We start from the raw sequence: 15015 nt of genomic DNA, 5'->3' as shown, positions 1-15015 counted from the left end.
AGAGACGGGGTTTCACCATGTTGGCCAGGCTGGTCTCAAACTCATGACCTCAAGGGATCCACCTGACACAGGCTCCCAAAGTGCTGGGATTACAGGCATGTAATCCCACTGCACCCGGCCCCAGATAGTCAGCATGTATTTAAACCCTGAATGATATCACCAAGAAAGTAAATTTACGGAGAAATTAGGTGAGTTTTAAGGACTGAGACCCATGGCACCCCCATTGCCAAGACGTTGAGTAGACTAGGTGCAGCCAGAGAAATCAAGACTGTGGAAAACTCCCCAAAACAAACAACCTAGTTTCTTTAGCCAATATATTACAGAGAGAGAGAGAAAGAGAACCTATTAACTCAAAAACAAAAGATTGATCACTTGTAGAATCTAGACTTTATTTGGATCCTGATTCAAACACGTCATGTCTGGGCACGGTGGCTCACACCTGTAATCCCAGCACTTTGGGAGGCCGAGGCGGGCAGATCACTTGAGGTCAGGAGTTTGAGACCAGCCTGACCAACATGGTGAAAACCCATCTCTACTAAAGATACAAAAACTTAGCTGGGCATGGTGGCGCATGCTAATAATCCCAGCTACTCGGGAGGCTGAGGCAGGAGAATCTCTTGAACCCGGGAGGCAGAGGTTGCAGTGACCCGAGATCATCCCATTGCACTCCAACCTGGATGACAAGAGTGAAACTCTGTCTCCAAAAAAAAAAAAAAAAAGAAAGAAACAAAGCAAACAAACAAAAAATACCATAAAATAAAATAAAAAATTAGGCCAGGCACAGTGGCTCACACCTAATCCCAGTGTTTTGGGAGGCCAAGGCGGAGGATTGTTTGAGGCCAGGAGTTTGAGACCAGCCTGGGCAACACAGCATGACTCCATCTCTATAAAAACATTTAAAATTTAGCCTGGCGTGGTGATGCACACCTGTAGTCCTAGCCACTCAGGAGGCTGAGATGGGAGGATCTCTTGAGCTCCAGAATTCAAGGCTGCAGTGAGCTATGATCATGCCACAGCACTCCAGCCTGAGTGACAGAACAAGATCCTGTCTCAAAAAAACCCAAAAAATTGTGAGACAATTGAGGAAATTTGAACCCCTGATTAGATATTTGAAGATTTTAAAGAATTATTGTTAATAGTTTTAAGTTTGATAATGAAACTGTGGTTATATTTTTAAAGGAGTCCTTATTGTTTCAAGGAGGGGTTAGTAAAGTACCACCCACGGACCAAATGGAAATGGCCACCTGATTTTGCGTGGCTCATGAGCTTAAAATGATTTTTTAGGTTGTTTAAATAGTTTTTTAAAACCAAAAGAATAATATTTATTGACATATGAAAATTTCCTGTGTGAAATTTAAATTTAAGTGTCTATAAATAAAGTTTTATTGGCACATGTCCATGCCCATTCATTGGCCTATTGTCCATGGCAGCTTCCTGCTACCATAGCAGAGTTGAGTACTTGGGACAGGGACCACACGGCCTCCAAAGCTCAAAATATGTATTCCATGTTCCCTTACTGAAAAAGCTTGCCAGCCCTTCTTTTATTTTATGTATTTATTTAATTGTTTTTTTTTTTTTAAGACAGAGTCTCTCTCTGTTACCCACGCTGGGGTTACCATGCCTCAGCCTCCCAAGTAGCTGGGACTACAGGCGCCCGCCACTACGCCCGGCTAATTTTTTGTATTTTTAGTAGAGACAGGGTTTCGCCGTGTTAGCCAGGATGGTCTCGATCTCCTGATCTTGTGATCTGCCCGCCTCGGCCTCCCAAAGTGCTGGGATTACAGGCGTGAGCCACCGCGCCCAGCCGCCATCCCAGCATTCTTTAATACAGATTTCCCTCGTATTGTCTAACTTGTTATGCAAATGGATTATTTTTCCCCCAAGGGGACCTCCACAACCAGCTTTGAAAACAATTATGCTTACTTTACTGCCCAGGACAAAAACAGTAAAACTTTTGAAGTTCCCAGACACCAAAAGCCCTGCATTCTAACAGGTTTTGAGCAAACCTGATCCCAAAGCACTTTGTAGGTGTGTTGGCCCACCATCACCATCCTGTAACTGGAATGCTCAACTCCAATTAGAAGTCTTCCTGGTTTGGGTCATTTGGGGCTTTGGGGAACCTTTGACCCTTTTTTCTCCCTTCCCTTTGGGCAGCTGCCCTGGGACATTGGCCCCATTCACAATTCTCCAGTTTCCCAGACAATGTGGCTTCTTGTGCTCTTTGCTCGGGCCCCTCTATTAACCCTACAGAGAGGTTTCAGGTTACTGAAACAGACGCCTTGCTTTCTGCTGTGCATAATGTCCTTTTTCCAGCGAGAAACTGCAGCCCATCAGGATCTGGTTTTCATTAAAGGCACTTTGGGTCACTTTTTTAGCAGATTGGTCAAAAGGACTGAAAGGACTGGGCAGGGCGATGATGATTTGGAGGTCGATAGCTTTCTCTATGGGCCATACCCCTTCCCCACTGAAAGATTCCCCCACTGCAGACTGGAGGAAATCAGTCAGGCAAGGATCCCTGTGGTGAAAACTACTCGAAAACAGCAACAATAACCACAAACCTGAAATGAAGACAATTTCCTGAGAAACTATGAATGTTTGGATGTGCAAGGTGATCAACTTTCCCAGTTGCCCGGGACCAAAAGGTTTCCCAGGACTCAAAACTTTCCATTTTGAAACCAGAAAGTCACAGGCAAACCCGGAGGAGTTGGTCAACCCATGGATCAGAGTCACTTCATCTTCTGTGAAATTTGCAAAGATGCTAGGAGGTTCCCCTCCTGCTGGGACACCCCAGCCCAGACACAAACCATTAATTCACAATTACATGGAGTTTCACTGTCTGCAAGGCTGCTCCATTTAAGCTCTGGGTCATGAACACATAACTCTAGGCATACTGACACTAGCTGGGAGATTTTCCACCAAAAAAAAAAAAAAAAAATGCCATTTCATGACTATTAATCCAAAATAGGTAAATGTGTCTGGCTTATAGAATACCAGCCTGATTACAAATGCTTGGTGTTGGAATGGCCCAGCTCACAGTGGTTGTAGAAGTCCAGTAGGCCCAGGCTTTGTGGCTCACTCCTGTAACCCCAGCACTTTGGGAGGCCAAGGTGGGAGGATCACTTGAGTCCAGAAGTTCAAAACCAGCCTGGGCAACATAGGGAGACTCCATTTCTACAAATAATTTAAAAATTAGCTGGGTGCATGCTTGTAGCCCTAGCTACTCAGGAGGTTGAGGCAGGAGAATTGCCTGAGCCTGGGAGGTCGAGGCCACAGTGAGCCGCGATCACATGTCACTACATTCCAGCCTGGGTGACAGAGCAAAACCCTGGCTGGAAAAAAAAAAAATTCAAGCAGTCAAGGGGATGGGAGCTTGGTGGACTAGAGATGCCCAGACTTGAGTTCCTGTCCCAGCCCTGCCACTAATAGTGAGATTTTAGGCACAGCTATTCCCCTTCTTCTCTCCTAAGTCTCCGGAGAACAAATGGCTTTGGATTCAATGAGGAAAAGAAGGAAAGAAAGGAAGAAACTGGTCTCACTGAGCATCCTCTATGAGCCGGGCATCACACCAAACCCTCCTCCCTGCCATTTACTCTTTCCACCAGCCTTGAAGGGTTACCGTACTCAGTTTCACAGATGAGTTCAGTGCACATGAACGATCACACAGCAAGCGAATGGCAGGGAGGGGGTTATGATGCAGGGCTGTGGGGCTCCCTAGTAACCTTAATCCCAGCAGTCATTTAATGAGACAGAACTAAGTACACGCCTCTCTAACATACATTGTCTCGCTTAATTCTTGTAGAATCTTTGAGGCAAGCATTACCATTATCTCTACTTCACAGATGAGCAAATGGGTTCTGAGAGGTCAAGTGACCTGCCCAAGGTCACACAGCTATGCATGCACAGCCAGGTGGCAAACCCAGAGCTAAATGATTCCAACGCTCACTGGCTTTGCTCTCCAGTGTCAGCTCAGCAGCCCTGAACCTAAAACTCCAGGTGGCAGGTGCCACCCCAGGGATAAGACCCCAGCTTTAACCTGAACCAAACCTTAACCAGCTGTGTGCTATTGGGCAAATTCCTTAACCTCTATAGGCTTGCATTTCCTCCTCTGCATAGTAGGCATGGCACTCATACCTCCCTGGCAAAAAACTATCAACTTTATTTGTTTATTTATTTATTTATTTATTTATTTATTTATTTATTCATTCATGAGACAGAGTCTCCCTGTGTCGCCCAGAATGGAGGGCAGTGGCCTGATCTCGGCTCACTGCAACCTCCACCTGCCGGATTGATGCGATTCTCCTGCCTCAGCCTCCGGAGTAGCTGAGATTACAGGCGCCCGCCACCACACCTGGCTAATATTTGTATTTTTAGTAGAGATGGAATTTCACCACTTTGGCCAGGCTGGTCTCGAACTCCTGGCCTCAAGTGATTCTCCTGCCTCAGCCTCCCAAAGTGCTGGGATTACAGGTGTGAGCCCCGGCCTTTACCTGCATTTTTCCATTTCTTCCACACAACTGTTATGAGGTAGGCATTACTTTATACATAAAATACATAAAGAACTAAGCCCAGCACTGGCACATATAAGAATGCAATGAATCGTAGCTATTATTACTAATGCTATTGTTTTTACTGCTGCTATATTATTATAACAAATAATCATTGTGATAGTTATTGCAACAGTTGTCATCGCTGTTATTATATTACTAAGTAGTTTTGGATCCCTTTTCTCGAAGTTTCATCGTCCCCCCCCTCCAAGTGCCCTCCAATCCCAGGAGCCCTTAAAGCCGCTGCACCCACACTTTGCCCACCCTCTTTCTCTCGGTCTGTCCCCCACGCCATCCATCACCTGCACCCCTTCCCTAGGGAGGCCCAGCGGTGGGCGCCCACCCGCTCCCCCAGCGCTTTGCCCCGTGAGTCCTCCGCCCAGGCCCCCGCGCGCGCCTCACCTGCGGAGCCCGGCTTGGCCGCACTGAGTCCCACGGGCGGGCGGGTGGCGCAGGGCGGGGCCGCGGGGCTCATGCGGGGAGCGGGCAGGCAGGAGAGCGGCGGGGCGGCGCCAGCCGGCAGCTCTGCGACCTCCTCCCTGCAGCGGCCCAGGTGGGAACTCAGCCAGGGCAGCGGCGGGGGTCACAGTCCCCGCCTGGGACTTCCTATCTGTCGAAGCTTGCAAGACGCACAAATGCCTGCTCCCCAGCCACTCTTCGGGGCGGCAGCTAGGAAGCGAGGATGGGGAGCACTAGAGAGCTATCCACCAATCGCTACATGGGACCTTTATTTAGATCTGAATTCAAACCGTTAAAAGAAGTTATAGGACGGGCACGGTGGCTCACGCCTGTAATCCCAGCACTTTTGGGAAGCCAAGGCGGGCGGATCACTTGAGGCCAGGAGTTCGAGACTAGCCTCGCCAACAGGGCGAAACCCCGGCTCTACTAAAAATACAAAGATTAGCCAGGCGCGGTGGCGGGCGCCTGTAATCCCAACTACTTGGGAGGCTGAGGCAGGAGAATCGCTTGAACCCGGGAGGGGGAGGTTGCAGTGAGCCGAGATCGTGCCATTGCACTCCAGCCTGGGCGACAGAGCAAGACTCCGTCTCAAAAAAAAAAAAAAAAAAAAAAAAATTATAAGAAAATTGGAGCAATGTGGTCGCTGGATATTTAATGGCTGGGTTTCTTTCATTTCTTTTTTCTTTTTTTTTGAGACAGTCTCGCTCTGTCGCCCAGGCTGGAGTGCAATGGCGCGATCTCGGCTCACTGGAACCTCCGCCCCCAGGTTCAAGCGATTCTCCCGCTTCAGCCTCCCAAGTAAAGAGGATTACAAGCGCCCATCACTACGCCCCGCTTATTTTTTTGTATTTTTAGCAGAGGCCGGGTTTCTCCATGTTGGCTAGGCTGGTCTCAAACTCCTGACCTCAGGTGATCCGCCGGCCTCGGCCTCCCAAAGTGCTGGGATTACAGGCGTGAGCCATCGCACCCTGCCGGGTTTCTTAATGAATAATTGTAATGTGGCTATCTTTTCAGAGTGGTTATCTTTTACAGTTATATATTTACAAAACTGAAATGAGACATCTGGGATTTGCTTGGCAATAGTGGAACCAAGGAGTAGTGGGAGTAGGGATGAAACAAGGTGGGCCATGTGTTGATAATTGCTGAGGCTGGTTGGGGAGGATTCATTATTACCTTTCTTTTTTATGTACTTGGAATTTTCCATAATAAAAATAATAGTATGACCTATAATAGATGTATACATACACAGAGTGGTAGAAAAAAATTCATCCTAAATGTCCACCAATAATGAAATGCTTAAATAAATGGATACATAAACGCTGTGGATTACACAGTCATTAAAATTGTTCTTAACAAAGACCACATAATTAGCACAAGGAAATAATTTTATATCCAAAACAAAAAAGCCAATGGTAAGAAATAGATGTATTTGAACTTTTATTGAACCTAGAAGCTAGGGGCTGGGTGTGGAGCCTCACACCTGTAATCCCAGCACTTTGGGAGGCCAAGGCAGGCTGATCACTTGAGGTCAAGAGTTTGAGACCAGCCTGGCCAACATGGTGAAACCTCGTCTCTACTAAAATTACAAAAATTAGCCAGGCATGGTCGTGGGCACCTGTAATCCCTGTTACTTGGGAGGCTGAGGCAGGAGAATTGCATGAGCTGGGGAGGTGGCAGTTGCAGTGATCTGAGATGGCACCACTGCCCTCCCACCTGGACAACAGAGCAAGACTCCATCTCAAAAACAAAGCAAAACAAAACAAAAAACTAGAAGGCAAGGCTGGGTGGGGTGGCTCAGACCTCTAATTCCAACACTTTGGGAGGCTGAGGTGGGTGGATCACTTGAGGTCAAGAGTTTGAGACCAGCCTGGCCAACAGGGCAAAACCCCATCTCTACTAAAAATACAAAAATGAGCTTGCATGGTGGCGCACGTCCTGTAATCCCAGCTACTCAGGAGGCTAAGGTAGGAGAATCCCTTGAACCCGAGAGGCAGAGGCTGCAGTGAGCTGAGATCATGCCACTGCACTCCAGCCTGGGCAAGAGAATGAGACTCTGCCTCAAAAAAAAAAATTAAAAAAAATCTGGTAGGCAATGCATTAAAATATTAGCTTTGCATGATAGGATTATGCATAACTGTTTTGCATCTTTCCTAATGAAAATAGTTGTGGACTCAAGAAGTTTCCTTGCAATCCTTCACATTTAACGAAACACATCTAATACCCGTAATATTTCAAAGTAATCATTGAAATGCCCAACGCTAACATTAGTTTGTCAGTGGCACAATTAAAACATTATCTTCAGAAATGACCAATTGCAGCATTCTGCTGCCCATCTGATAGTAATTTATATAATGCTAATGTCCAGCATCCTCAAAAACATCCTTTTATCCCCAGGGTCTTTGTTTAATCCTTTAAATAAAAAGCTTAACCTCAGCCGGGCACAGTGGCTCATGCTTGCAATCCCAGCACTTTGGGAGGCTGAGACGGGCAGATCACAAGGTTAGGAGATCGAGACCATCTGGCTAATACAGTGAAACCCCGTCTCTACTAAAAATACAAAAAATTAGCCAGGCGTGGTGACGGGCGCCTGTAGTCCCAGCTACTCAGAAGGCTGAGGCAGGAGAATGGTATGAACCCGGGAGGCAGAGCTTGCAGTGAGCCAAGATCATGCCACCACTCCAGCCTGGGTGACACAGTGAGACTCTTTCTCAAAAAAAAAAAAAAAAAAAAAAAAGCTTAACCTCAAGCTTTAAATGACAGGAAATGGCTTCCATCCTTTGTCAATTTTTGATTTAGAATATAGGTGTCTAGGAGTCTCACATGACTCATCTCAGAACAATAAAAGGACCTTTTCATTTTTACATATTTTAATGTTTAAACATTTATAAATGTGTGTATATATACATGCACAGAAAAAAAAAAGTCTGGAAGGCATAAACCAAACTGTCAGTAGTGGTTCTCTCAAGTTTATGGGGTAAGTAAAGTTAATTTTCATTTTATACTTTTTCTGCGATGAACGTTGATATGGTTTGGCTTTGTGTCCCCACCCAAATCTTGTGTGGAATTGTAATCCCAGTGTTGGGGGAGGGGTCTGGTGGGAGGTGATTGGATCATGGGGCTGACTTCCCCCTCAATACTGCTTTCGTGATAGTGAGTGAGTGCTCAGTTGTTTAAAAGTGTGTGGTACCTTCTCCTTGGTTCTCTCTTAGTTCTCCTTCCACCATGTAAGACATGCAGGCTTCCCCTTCACTTTCCACCATGATTGTAAGTTTCCTGAGGCCTCCCTAGAAGCAGAAGCCTATACAGCCTGCAGAACCATGAGCCAATTAAACCTCTTTTCTTTATAAATTACCCAGTCTTAAGTGTGTTTTTATAGCAGTGTGAGAAAGGACTAATACAAACGTGTTACTTATAATGGAAAAACCAGTAGGGCTTTACGATCAGTCATGGCCACCCTATAAATAATAAAAACAAGATGGAGGCTGGGCGAGGTGGCTCACACCTATAATCCCAGCACTTTGGGAGGCTGAGGCGGGTGGATGACCTGAGGTCAAGAGTCTGAGACCAGCCTGACCAACATGGCAAAACCCCATCTCTACTAAAAATAGAAAAATTAGCAGGGCATAGTGGCACATGCCTATAATCCCAGCTACTTGAGAGGTTGAGGCAGGAGAATCACTTGAACCTGGGAGGTGGAGGTTGCAGTGAGCCAAGATTGCACCACTGCACTCCAGCCTGGGCGACAGAGGAAGGCTCCAACTCAAAAAAAAAAAAAAAAAAAAAAAGAATTGCCAATGTATTCACTTGAACTCTAGCATTTGGAAAAGTGTTGAGAGTTCACAGTCGTTTAAAACCAGCGTTCTGTGTTGAATCCTAAACAGGATATAAGAAAATAGCATTTGGGCACTCTATCTGTTCTTATTTTCCAGAACTTAAGAAGTACAGGTATATAAGACATCCCAATTTACATGGGCATTTACTTGAGAGAAAAAATACTTACTTTTCATTTTACATGTATTGAAAGTAATTTTAAAGTGACTTTCTAACAAAAGCATATTATTTAATTCATGTGAATACAGCATACTGACCCAAATCCAGAGGGAATTCTTAAGTTCGGTTATGTAATAATATTCTCCCTGTTCTCCAAAAGTATACAATTTCACAGTGAAAAAGAAGTATTTTGTTATCACTGAATACTGAGTCCAATTCAGTGATACTGATATAGATAGCAAGCTACAAAGCACAATTTACTAGTAAATGAAGCCAAATGCCATACAAGTTGTATTATAAAAACAAATGATGCACTAGTCATTAGGGAAATGCAAATCAAAACCACAAGCTACCACCTTACACCGATTAGGATGGCTACTACTAAAAAAACAAAACAGGCTGGACATGGTGGCTCACACCTGTAATCCCAGCACTTTGGGAGGCCAAGGCAGGCAGATCACCTGAGGTCAGGAGTTCGAGACCAGCCTGGCCAACATGGCGAAACCCCAAAACCCCATCTCCACCAAAAATATAAAAATTAGCCAAGTGTAATGGTAGGTGCCTGTAATCCCAGCTACTCGGGAGGCTGAGGCAGGAGAATCACTTGAACCCAAGAGATGGAGTTTGCAGTGAGCCGAGATCATGCCCTGCGCTCCAGCCTGGGCAACAGAGCAAGACTCCATCCCAAAACAAAACAAGATAATGTTGGTGAAGATGTGGAGACATTGGAACGGTTGTGAACTGTTGGCAAAAATGTTAAATGGTGCAGAAAACAGCATTGTGGTTCCTCAAATAATTAAAAATAGAATTACCACATGATCCAGTAATTTCACTTCTGGTTATATACCCAAAGGAATTAAAAGCAGGGTCACAAGATACTTGTATACTCATGTTCACAGCAGGGTTATTCAGACAGCTAAAAGGTAGTAGCAATCCAAGAGTTCACCAACAGACTAATGGATAAGCAAACTATGGTCTATCCATACAATAGATTATTCAGCCTTAAAAAGGAAGGAAATTCTGGCCGGTGCGGTGGCTCACGCCTATAATCCCAGCACTTTGGGAAGCCGAGGCAGGTAGATCACCTGAGGTCAGGAGTTTTGAGACCAGCCTGGCCAACATGGTGTAACCGTCTCTACTAAAAATACAAAAATTAGCCAAGCATGGTGGCAGGCGCCTGTAATCTCAGCTACTCAGGAGGCTGAGGCAGGAGAATGGCTTGAACCCAGCAGCCAGAGGCTGCAGTGAGCCGAGATCACACCACTGAACTCCAGCCTGGGGGACAGAAAGAGACTCCGTCTCAAAAAAAAAAAAAAAAAAAAAAAAGAGAGGAAGGAAACTCTGACACCCTCTACATCGGTGAACCCTGAGGGCACTGTGCTAAGTGAAATAAGCCAGTCATGGGCCGGGCGCGGTGGCTCACGCCTGTAATCCTGGCACTTTAGGAGGCCGGATCACAAGGCCAGGAGTTCGAGACCAATCTGGCCAACATGGCGAAACCCCATCTCTACTAAAAATACAAAATTAGCCAGGAGTGGTGGTGCACGCCTGTAATCCTAGCTACTCAGGAGGCTAAGGCAGGATTGATTGAACCCAGGAGGCAAAGGTTGAAGTGAGCTGAGATTGCATCACTGCACTCCAGCCTGGGCAACAGAGTGAGACTCTGTCTCAGGAAAAAAAAAAAAAGAAGAATAAGCCGGTCACAAAAAGGCAAATACTGTGTAATTCCAATTATATGGGAGGTGACTGGATCATGGGGCGGATCATGACTACCTAGAGTAGTCAAAGGGACAGAAAGTAGAATGATAGTTGCTAGAGGGTGGGGTGGAGACAATGGAGAGTTGTGTTTATGAACATAGTTTCAGTTTTGCAAGATAAAGGGAGTGCTAGGCCAGGGACAGTGGCTAACACCTGCAGTCCCAACACTTTGGGAGGCCAAGGTAGAAGGATCACTTGAGGCCAGGAGTTTAAGACCAGCCTAGGCAACATAGTCCTGATTTGTCTCAAGTTACTTATGAGCCCAGTTTTGTGCTCAGTGCACTCCTAGACAGTACAACTCAGTCCAGGCTGCCCTGATTCCATGCACTATCTTCTAGCCGGCGGAAGCACTGGATATAAGGTAACTGGGGGTGCTTAAGCATCTGCACTAACATGGTAGGTCACTTTAGTCACTGGAAGCCCATGATACTATACTGACATTGCTGGAGAAAAAGGATCATGTAACACCTCCATCAGTAACCAAGTAGTGGGAAGCAATTAATGAAAACATCTTGCTTCATTAATACTGTAAATAACATACGCAGTATAGCCTATTAATACTATACTCAGAACCAAGTGAAAACAAAGCTTTGCTCAGGAAGACTTGAAACATCTACACTTTATTTTCCAACTCAACTTTTTTCTGTTAAAAGCCAACCATGTAAAAACTGATGACAGGTCACACTGGATGGCAGAAAATACAGTACTGCTTTTAACTACTCTGTACAAGGGATAAATGACTAAGGGCACTGTACCTCCTTTCCTCCCCTTCTCTGAGATCAGTGGTCTGAGCACTTTAGGAGCTTAAAATGCAGGTGCAGGGAGCTAGGAATCAGAGGTGTGGCTTGCATTTCAACCTTTAAGGTCAATTGGTTAGCTTGCTTTTACCACAAATAAAGCTCTTCTTAATTTCTCTAGTACAGTCTTAACTTGATATGAAGCACTTACACGAGGAATGGTGCAGACAAGGCAGCTTTATTGTACTTTGGGGGAGAAAAACATGATTCCATTTACGGGGAAAAAAGCCATTGACACTCAGTAAGCAACACTGCCATCTAGTGGAATGGTGACACACCACCAAGAATTTCAAGACCCGATAGGAAATGTGAGTGGATTTGGTTTCAATTTTCACCACAAAACAGCACTTTTAATAAGCTGGTTTTCAGAGAACTTCAGATTTTTTTGAGAAACTACTTTTTATCTTTAAAATGCATAAATGTATGTGTTTTCTCTGTTTTGGGGGGGTGGTTAAGAATGAGTTGTATTTTTCTTATTAGAGCATAAAGTTCTCTACTTGAAAGTTAGAAAACACTTTGGGGCAACCTGCCTCCTTGAACATCCATCACTTCTGCTTGACAGTCTAACAGCAACCCCTGATTTTAACAGACAGTTTATAAAGAAGCAAAACTCAACTGTACAAGAACGACATTAAGTTTTCTCATTTCCTCTTTCTATTTTTACAATCTATGGTGCTAAGTATTTGTACTTCACTTACTTGAATTCCTGGAAAAAAATCATTAGAACACACCAATAACAATTTTGCATAAATCACATAACCCAACTCTTATTATGACTGCACAGTAACAGTGGAAGATATTGGTGTGAGGATGTGGGAATGCAGTTCTTAATGAATAATAAAGTAATTCTTCAGGTTTTAATTCGCCTTTATACCCAGGTGTTGGAGTGAATGTGTTGATCTGATGACTTCTATGAGCATATAAATGAGAATACTTAATGAAACACCTGGATGAAAAAAGAAATAAAGTAGTGAGGATAACATATTGTTAATAACCACAATCTCATATTGACATTTCTGTTATTACTGAGATTTCAGATTCTGGGTTAAATGCTCTGCTCTTTGGAATATCCACGATGGTTATTGATCTTGCTAATGGGTTCCTCTATGGCAGCATTTCTGGGTTTATGGTTGGAGGCACTCACGGATTCCAGAATGCATGAGTCTGACACGGTCTTCATCAAACCATATTCTTGGCAAATAATAAACTCCTTTAAGGATTTCAGGGAAGAGCCAAGCTCTGGGAGAGAGGTATATAAGTGTAGAGTAAGAAGTTGAATTAAAACATTTTTAGTTGCATTTTGTCAGTAGACAAAACTGAATGTTTCAATTCTGAGAACCTGAGATTGTCCAGAAAAAAACAAAGTTCAGTGTATGGGACATGAGTGATCACAAAGTCAGAACCAGGTTATTTTGCATTTTTCACAGCAGCATTAACTGGGGGGGTGGGGGGAGGGGTCCCTGAAGTTCTGTATCTGAATGAGGCTGGGTTTTTGTTTCTGTTTTTTTTTTTTACTGACTCAGTGTTCACTGCAATTTGCAATAATCTCCCCTTCCCCCAAGTCTGAAGCCTTCCTTCCCCCCTATTCAAATTGTCTGCGTCATTCTCATAATGCTACTATTTGGGTACTCCTGAAGCCAAACCAATAAAAAATGCTAGGGGAGCTTTATATGAATTCAAACATGATGCCAAAGTCATCTCCAAAAAAGTTTATTAGCATGATTAAAAACATTTTCTTGAATAATAACAGAAAGAATTTCTAAACATGAAAGAATATCAGTGGCTATACCTTAAAACCAGTATTTGGAATTGAATGGACAGCTTTATTGCCAGTCTTCAAAAAACAATCCATTGATTGGTTCCATGAAGTCGTGACTATTGCTTTGTCTGGGAATGAGTCCCTACTGCAATTAAGTATAAAAAATATCTTCCATCATAATTGGAGTGTGACCTGCATTGGAGAGTGGCTCTGAGTAAAGAGTTGATAAAAATCCACAAAGAGTTGGGTTTTTGTCTTTTAAAAACATTCCTTTACACACTACAAAGAAATAATTAGTATTTTGGCTTTTTAAATTCCTACATGATATTTAGAATGGCGGTCCCCAAGGGTCCTCCCTTCACGTAATTGTGAACACAGACCCTCTTCCAAGGGCACATCCCGGAGGGTGCGGACTCTGAAGACTTCGACCTCCACGTGTTTATACTGGTTTGAGAACAAAGACAGCGTCATCCAGAACGTAGTAGTCATTATACATGTCGCCTTCACACAGGTATGGTAGTCTGGTGAAAGCTTCGATAACAAAACCAGCTTTTCTGAAAACTTCAGGCAGACTATTCACTTGTTCTTCCCAGTTCTGTCCTTTGATTTCCAAAATTTCTGATGGTTTCTCCCACTTGCCACCTACTAATACAAATAAGAACATTCAGTTAAATTCTTGAACAAACAAGTGATTTAAAGAGGGAAGCAGGGAGGAGCCATATCTACCAAGGACTTGGTACGTTCCAAGCCTGAGGGCTTCATGAGTTACCTCTTTTGTACTTCCCAGGTACTCTTTGAGACAGGTGGGCAGATAAAGAACAGACTCAGAAGGGGTGAAGAACTTGCCCACGCTTGCAAGGTTAATGAGTGTCAGTATGGAAATGTAAGCCCAGGTTTGTCTGGATCCAAGGCCCCACACTGTTATCTTCTCTGACAGTTTTGGGTAGTATCTGCCAATAGACTGACTGCAGGGTGTAATGGTTAATGGGTTTGGAAAACTGGTCATTAAATGCTGGAATACTGAAACAGAGAGCAACATGTAATATCTGAAGGACAGTTTTGGACAAATGCAAGAAAATACCACTGGCATAGTAAACTTATGCAACTTACTACCTAGAGAGATTTATTAGGCTGAAAATAAAAACAGGCTCATGAAGGATTTTAATTTAGAAAAGCAGATCATTGGGGAGTTTTTCTAGGGAAGTTGACTCATTCTTTGCCTTTTCAGAACAATTTCATAAACATTAAGCTCCAGGACCAGAGAGAGATGGAACAGTAGGATGGATACACCGTCCAGCATTTCTTGGACTAGAGATGAAGCCTCTATCAGTCATTTCCAAACCTATGAGCAGGAGATGCCTGGGGGACAAGGGGACTAGGGAAGGTCCTCAAATTCACATACAAACCTGGCACTGACTACAGACACACACACAGAGATGACAGTATATTTAACTTTGGGGGTACTTTTTAGGTGCTATGGTGATACAAAAACTACATACATCTGTTGAAGTGTTAAAACCAGATTGAGGCCGGGCGTGGTGGCACATGCCTGTAATCCCAGCACTTTGGGAGGCCGAGGTGGGCGGATCACGAGGTCAGGAGATCAAGACCATCCTGACTAACACAGTGAAACCCCGTCTCTACTAAAAAAAATACAAAAAAATTAGCTGGGCATGGCAACATGCACCTGTAGTCCCAGCTACTTGGG

General features: G+C 44.2%; 2 protein-coding genes across 5 annotated transcripts in view, besides 1 other annotated feature; both read right to left on the bottom strand.

Annotated features, from left to right (window-relative positions):
• Window positions 1–5211, bottom strand: part of OTOA (otoancorin) — a 96762-nt gene extending 91551 nt beyond the window's left edge. Inside the window, exon 1 of the mRNA NM_144672.4 lies at window positions 4947–5211. The gene's annotated coding sequence lies outside the window, so the exon portion shown is untranslated. The remainder of the gene's footprint in view (window positions 1–4946) is intronic.
• Window positions 10803–10942: an enhancer, noted in NCBI's record as "active region_10559". NCBI's record gives its function as "activates an Ori minimal core promoter by ATAC-STARR-seq in GM12878 lymphoblastoid cells {active_cell/tissue: GM12878}" and the evidence as "EXISTENCE:reporter gene assay evidence [ECO:0000049][PMID:35858748]".
• The window catches only part of METTL9 (methyltransferase 9, His-X-His N1(pi)-histidine), a 60264-nt gene continuing 56956 nt past the window's right edge, over window positions 11708–15015 (bottom strand). For 2 of the 4 annotated variants that reach the window (NM_001288659.2, NM_016025.5), the window contains exon 5: window positions 11708–13952. In NM_001288659.2, coding sequence (NP_001275588.1) covers window positions 13747–13952 — 206 coding nt within the window. In that variant the 3' untranslated portion in view covers window positions 11708–13746. The remainder of the gene's footprint in view (window positions 13953–15015) is intronic. The other 2 variants (NM_001288660.2, NM_001077180.3) reach the window with 1 other exon arrangement.

The sequence above is a fragment of the Homo sapiens genome, chromosome 16 (genome assembly GCF_000001405.40).
Source record: "Homo sapiens chromosome 16, GRCh38.p14 Primary Assembly".
Classification (NCBI taxonomy): Eukaryota; Metazoa; Chordata; class Mammalia; order Primates; family Hominidae; genus Homo; species Homo sapiens.
The sequence above is the reverse complement of the archived record's forward strand: the minus strand, read 5'-3'. Positions and strand labels throughout refer to the sequence as shown.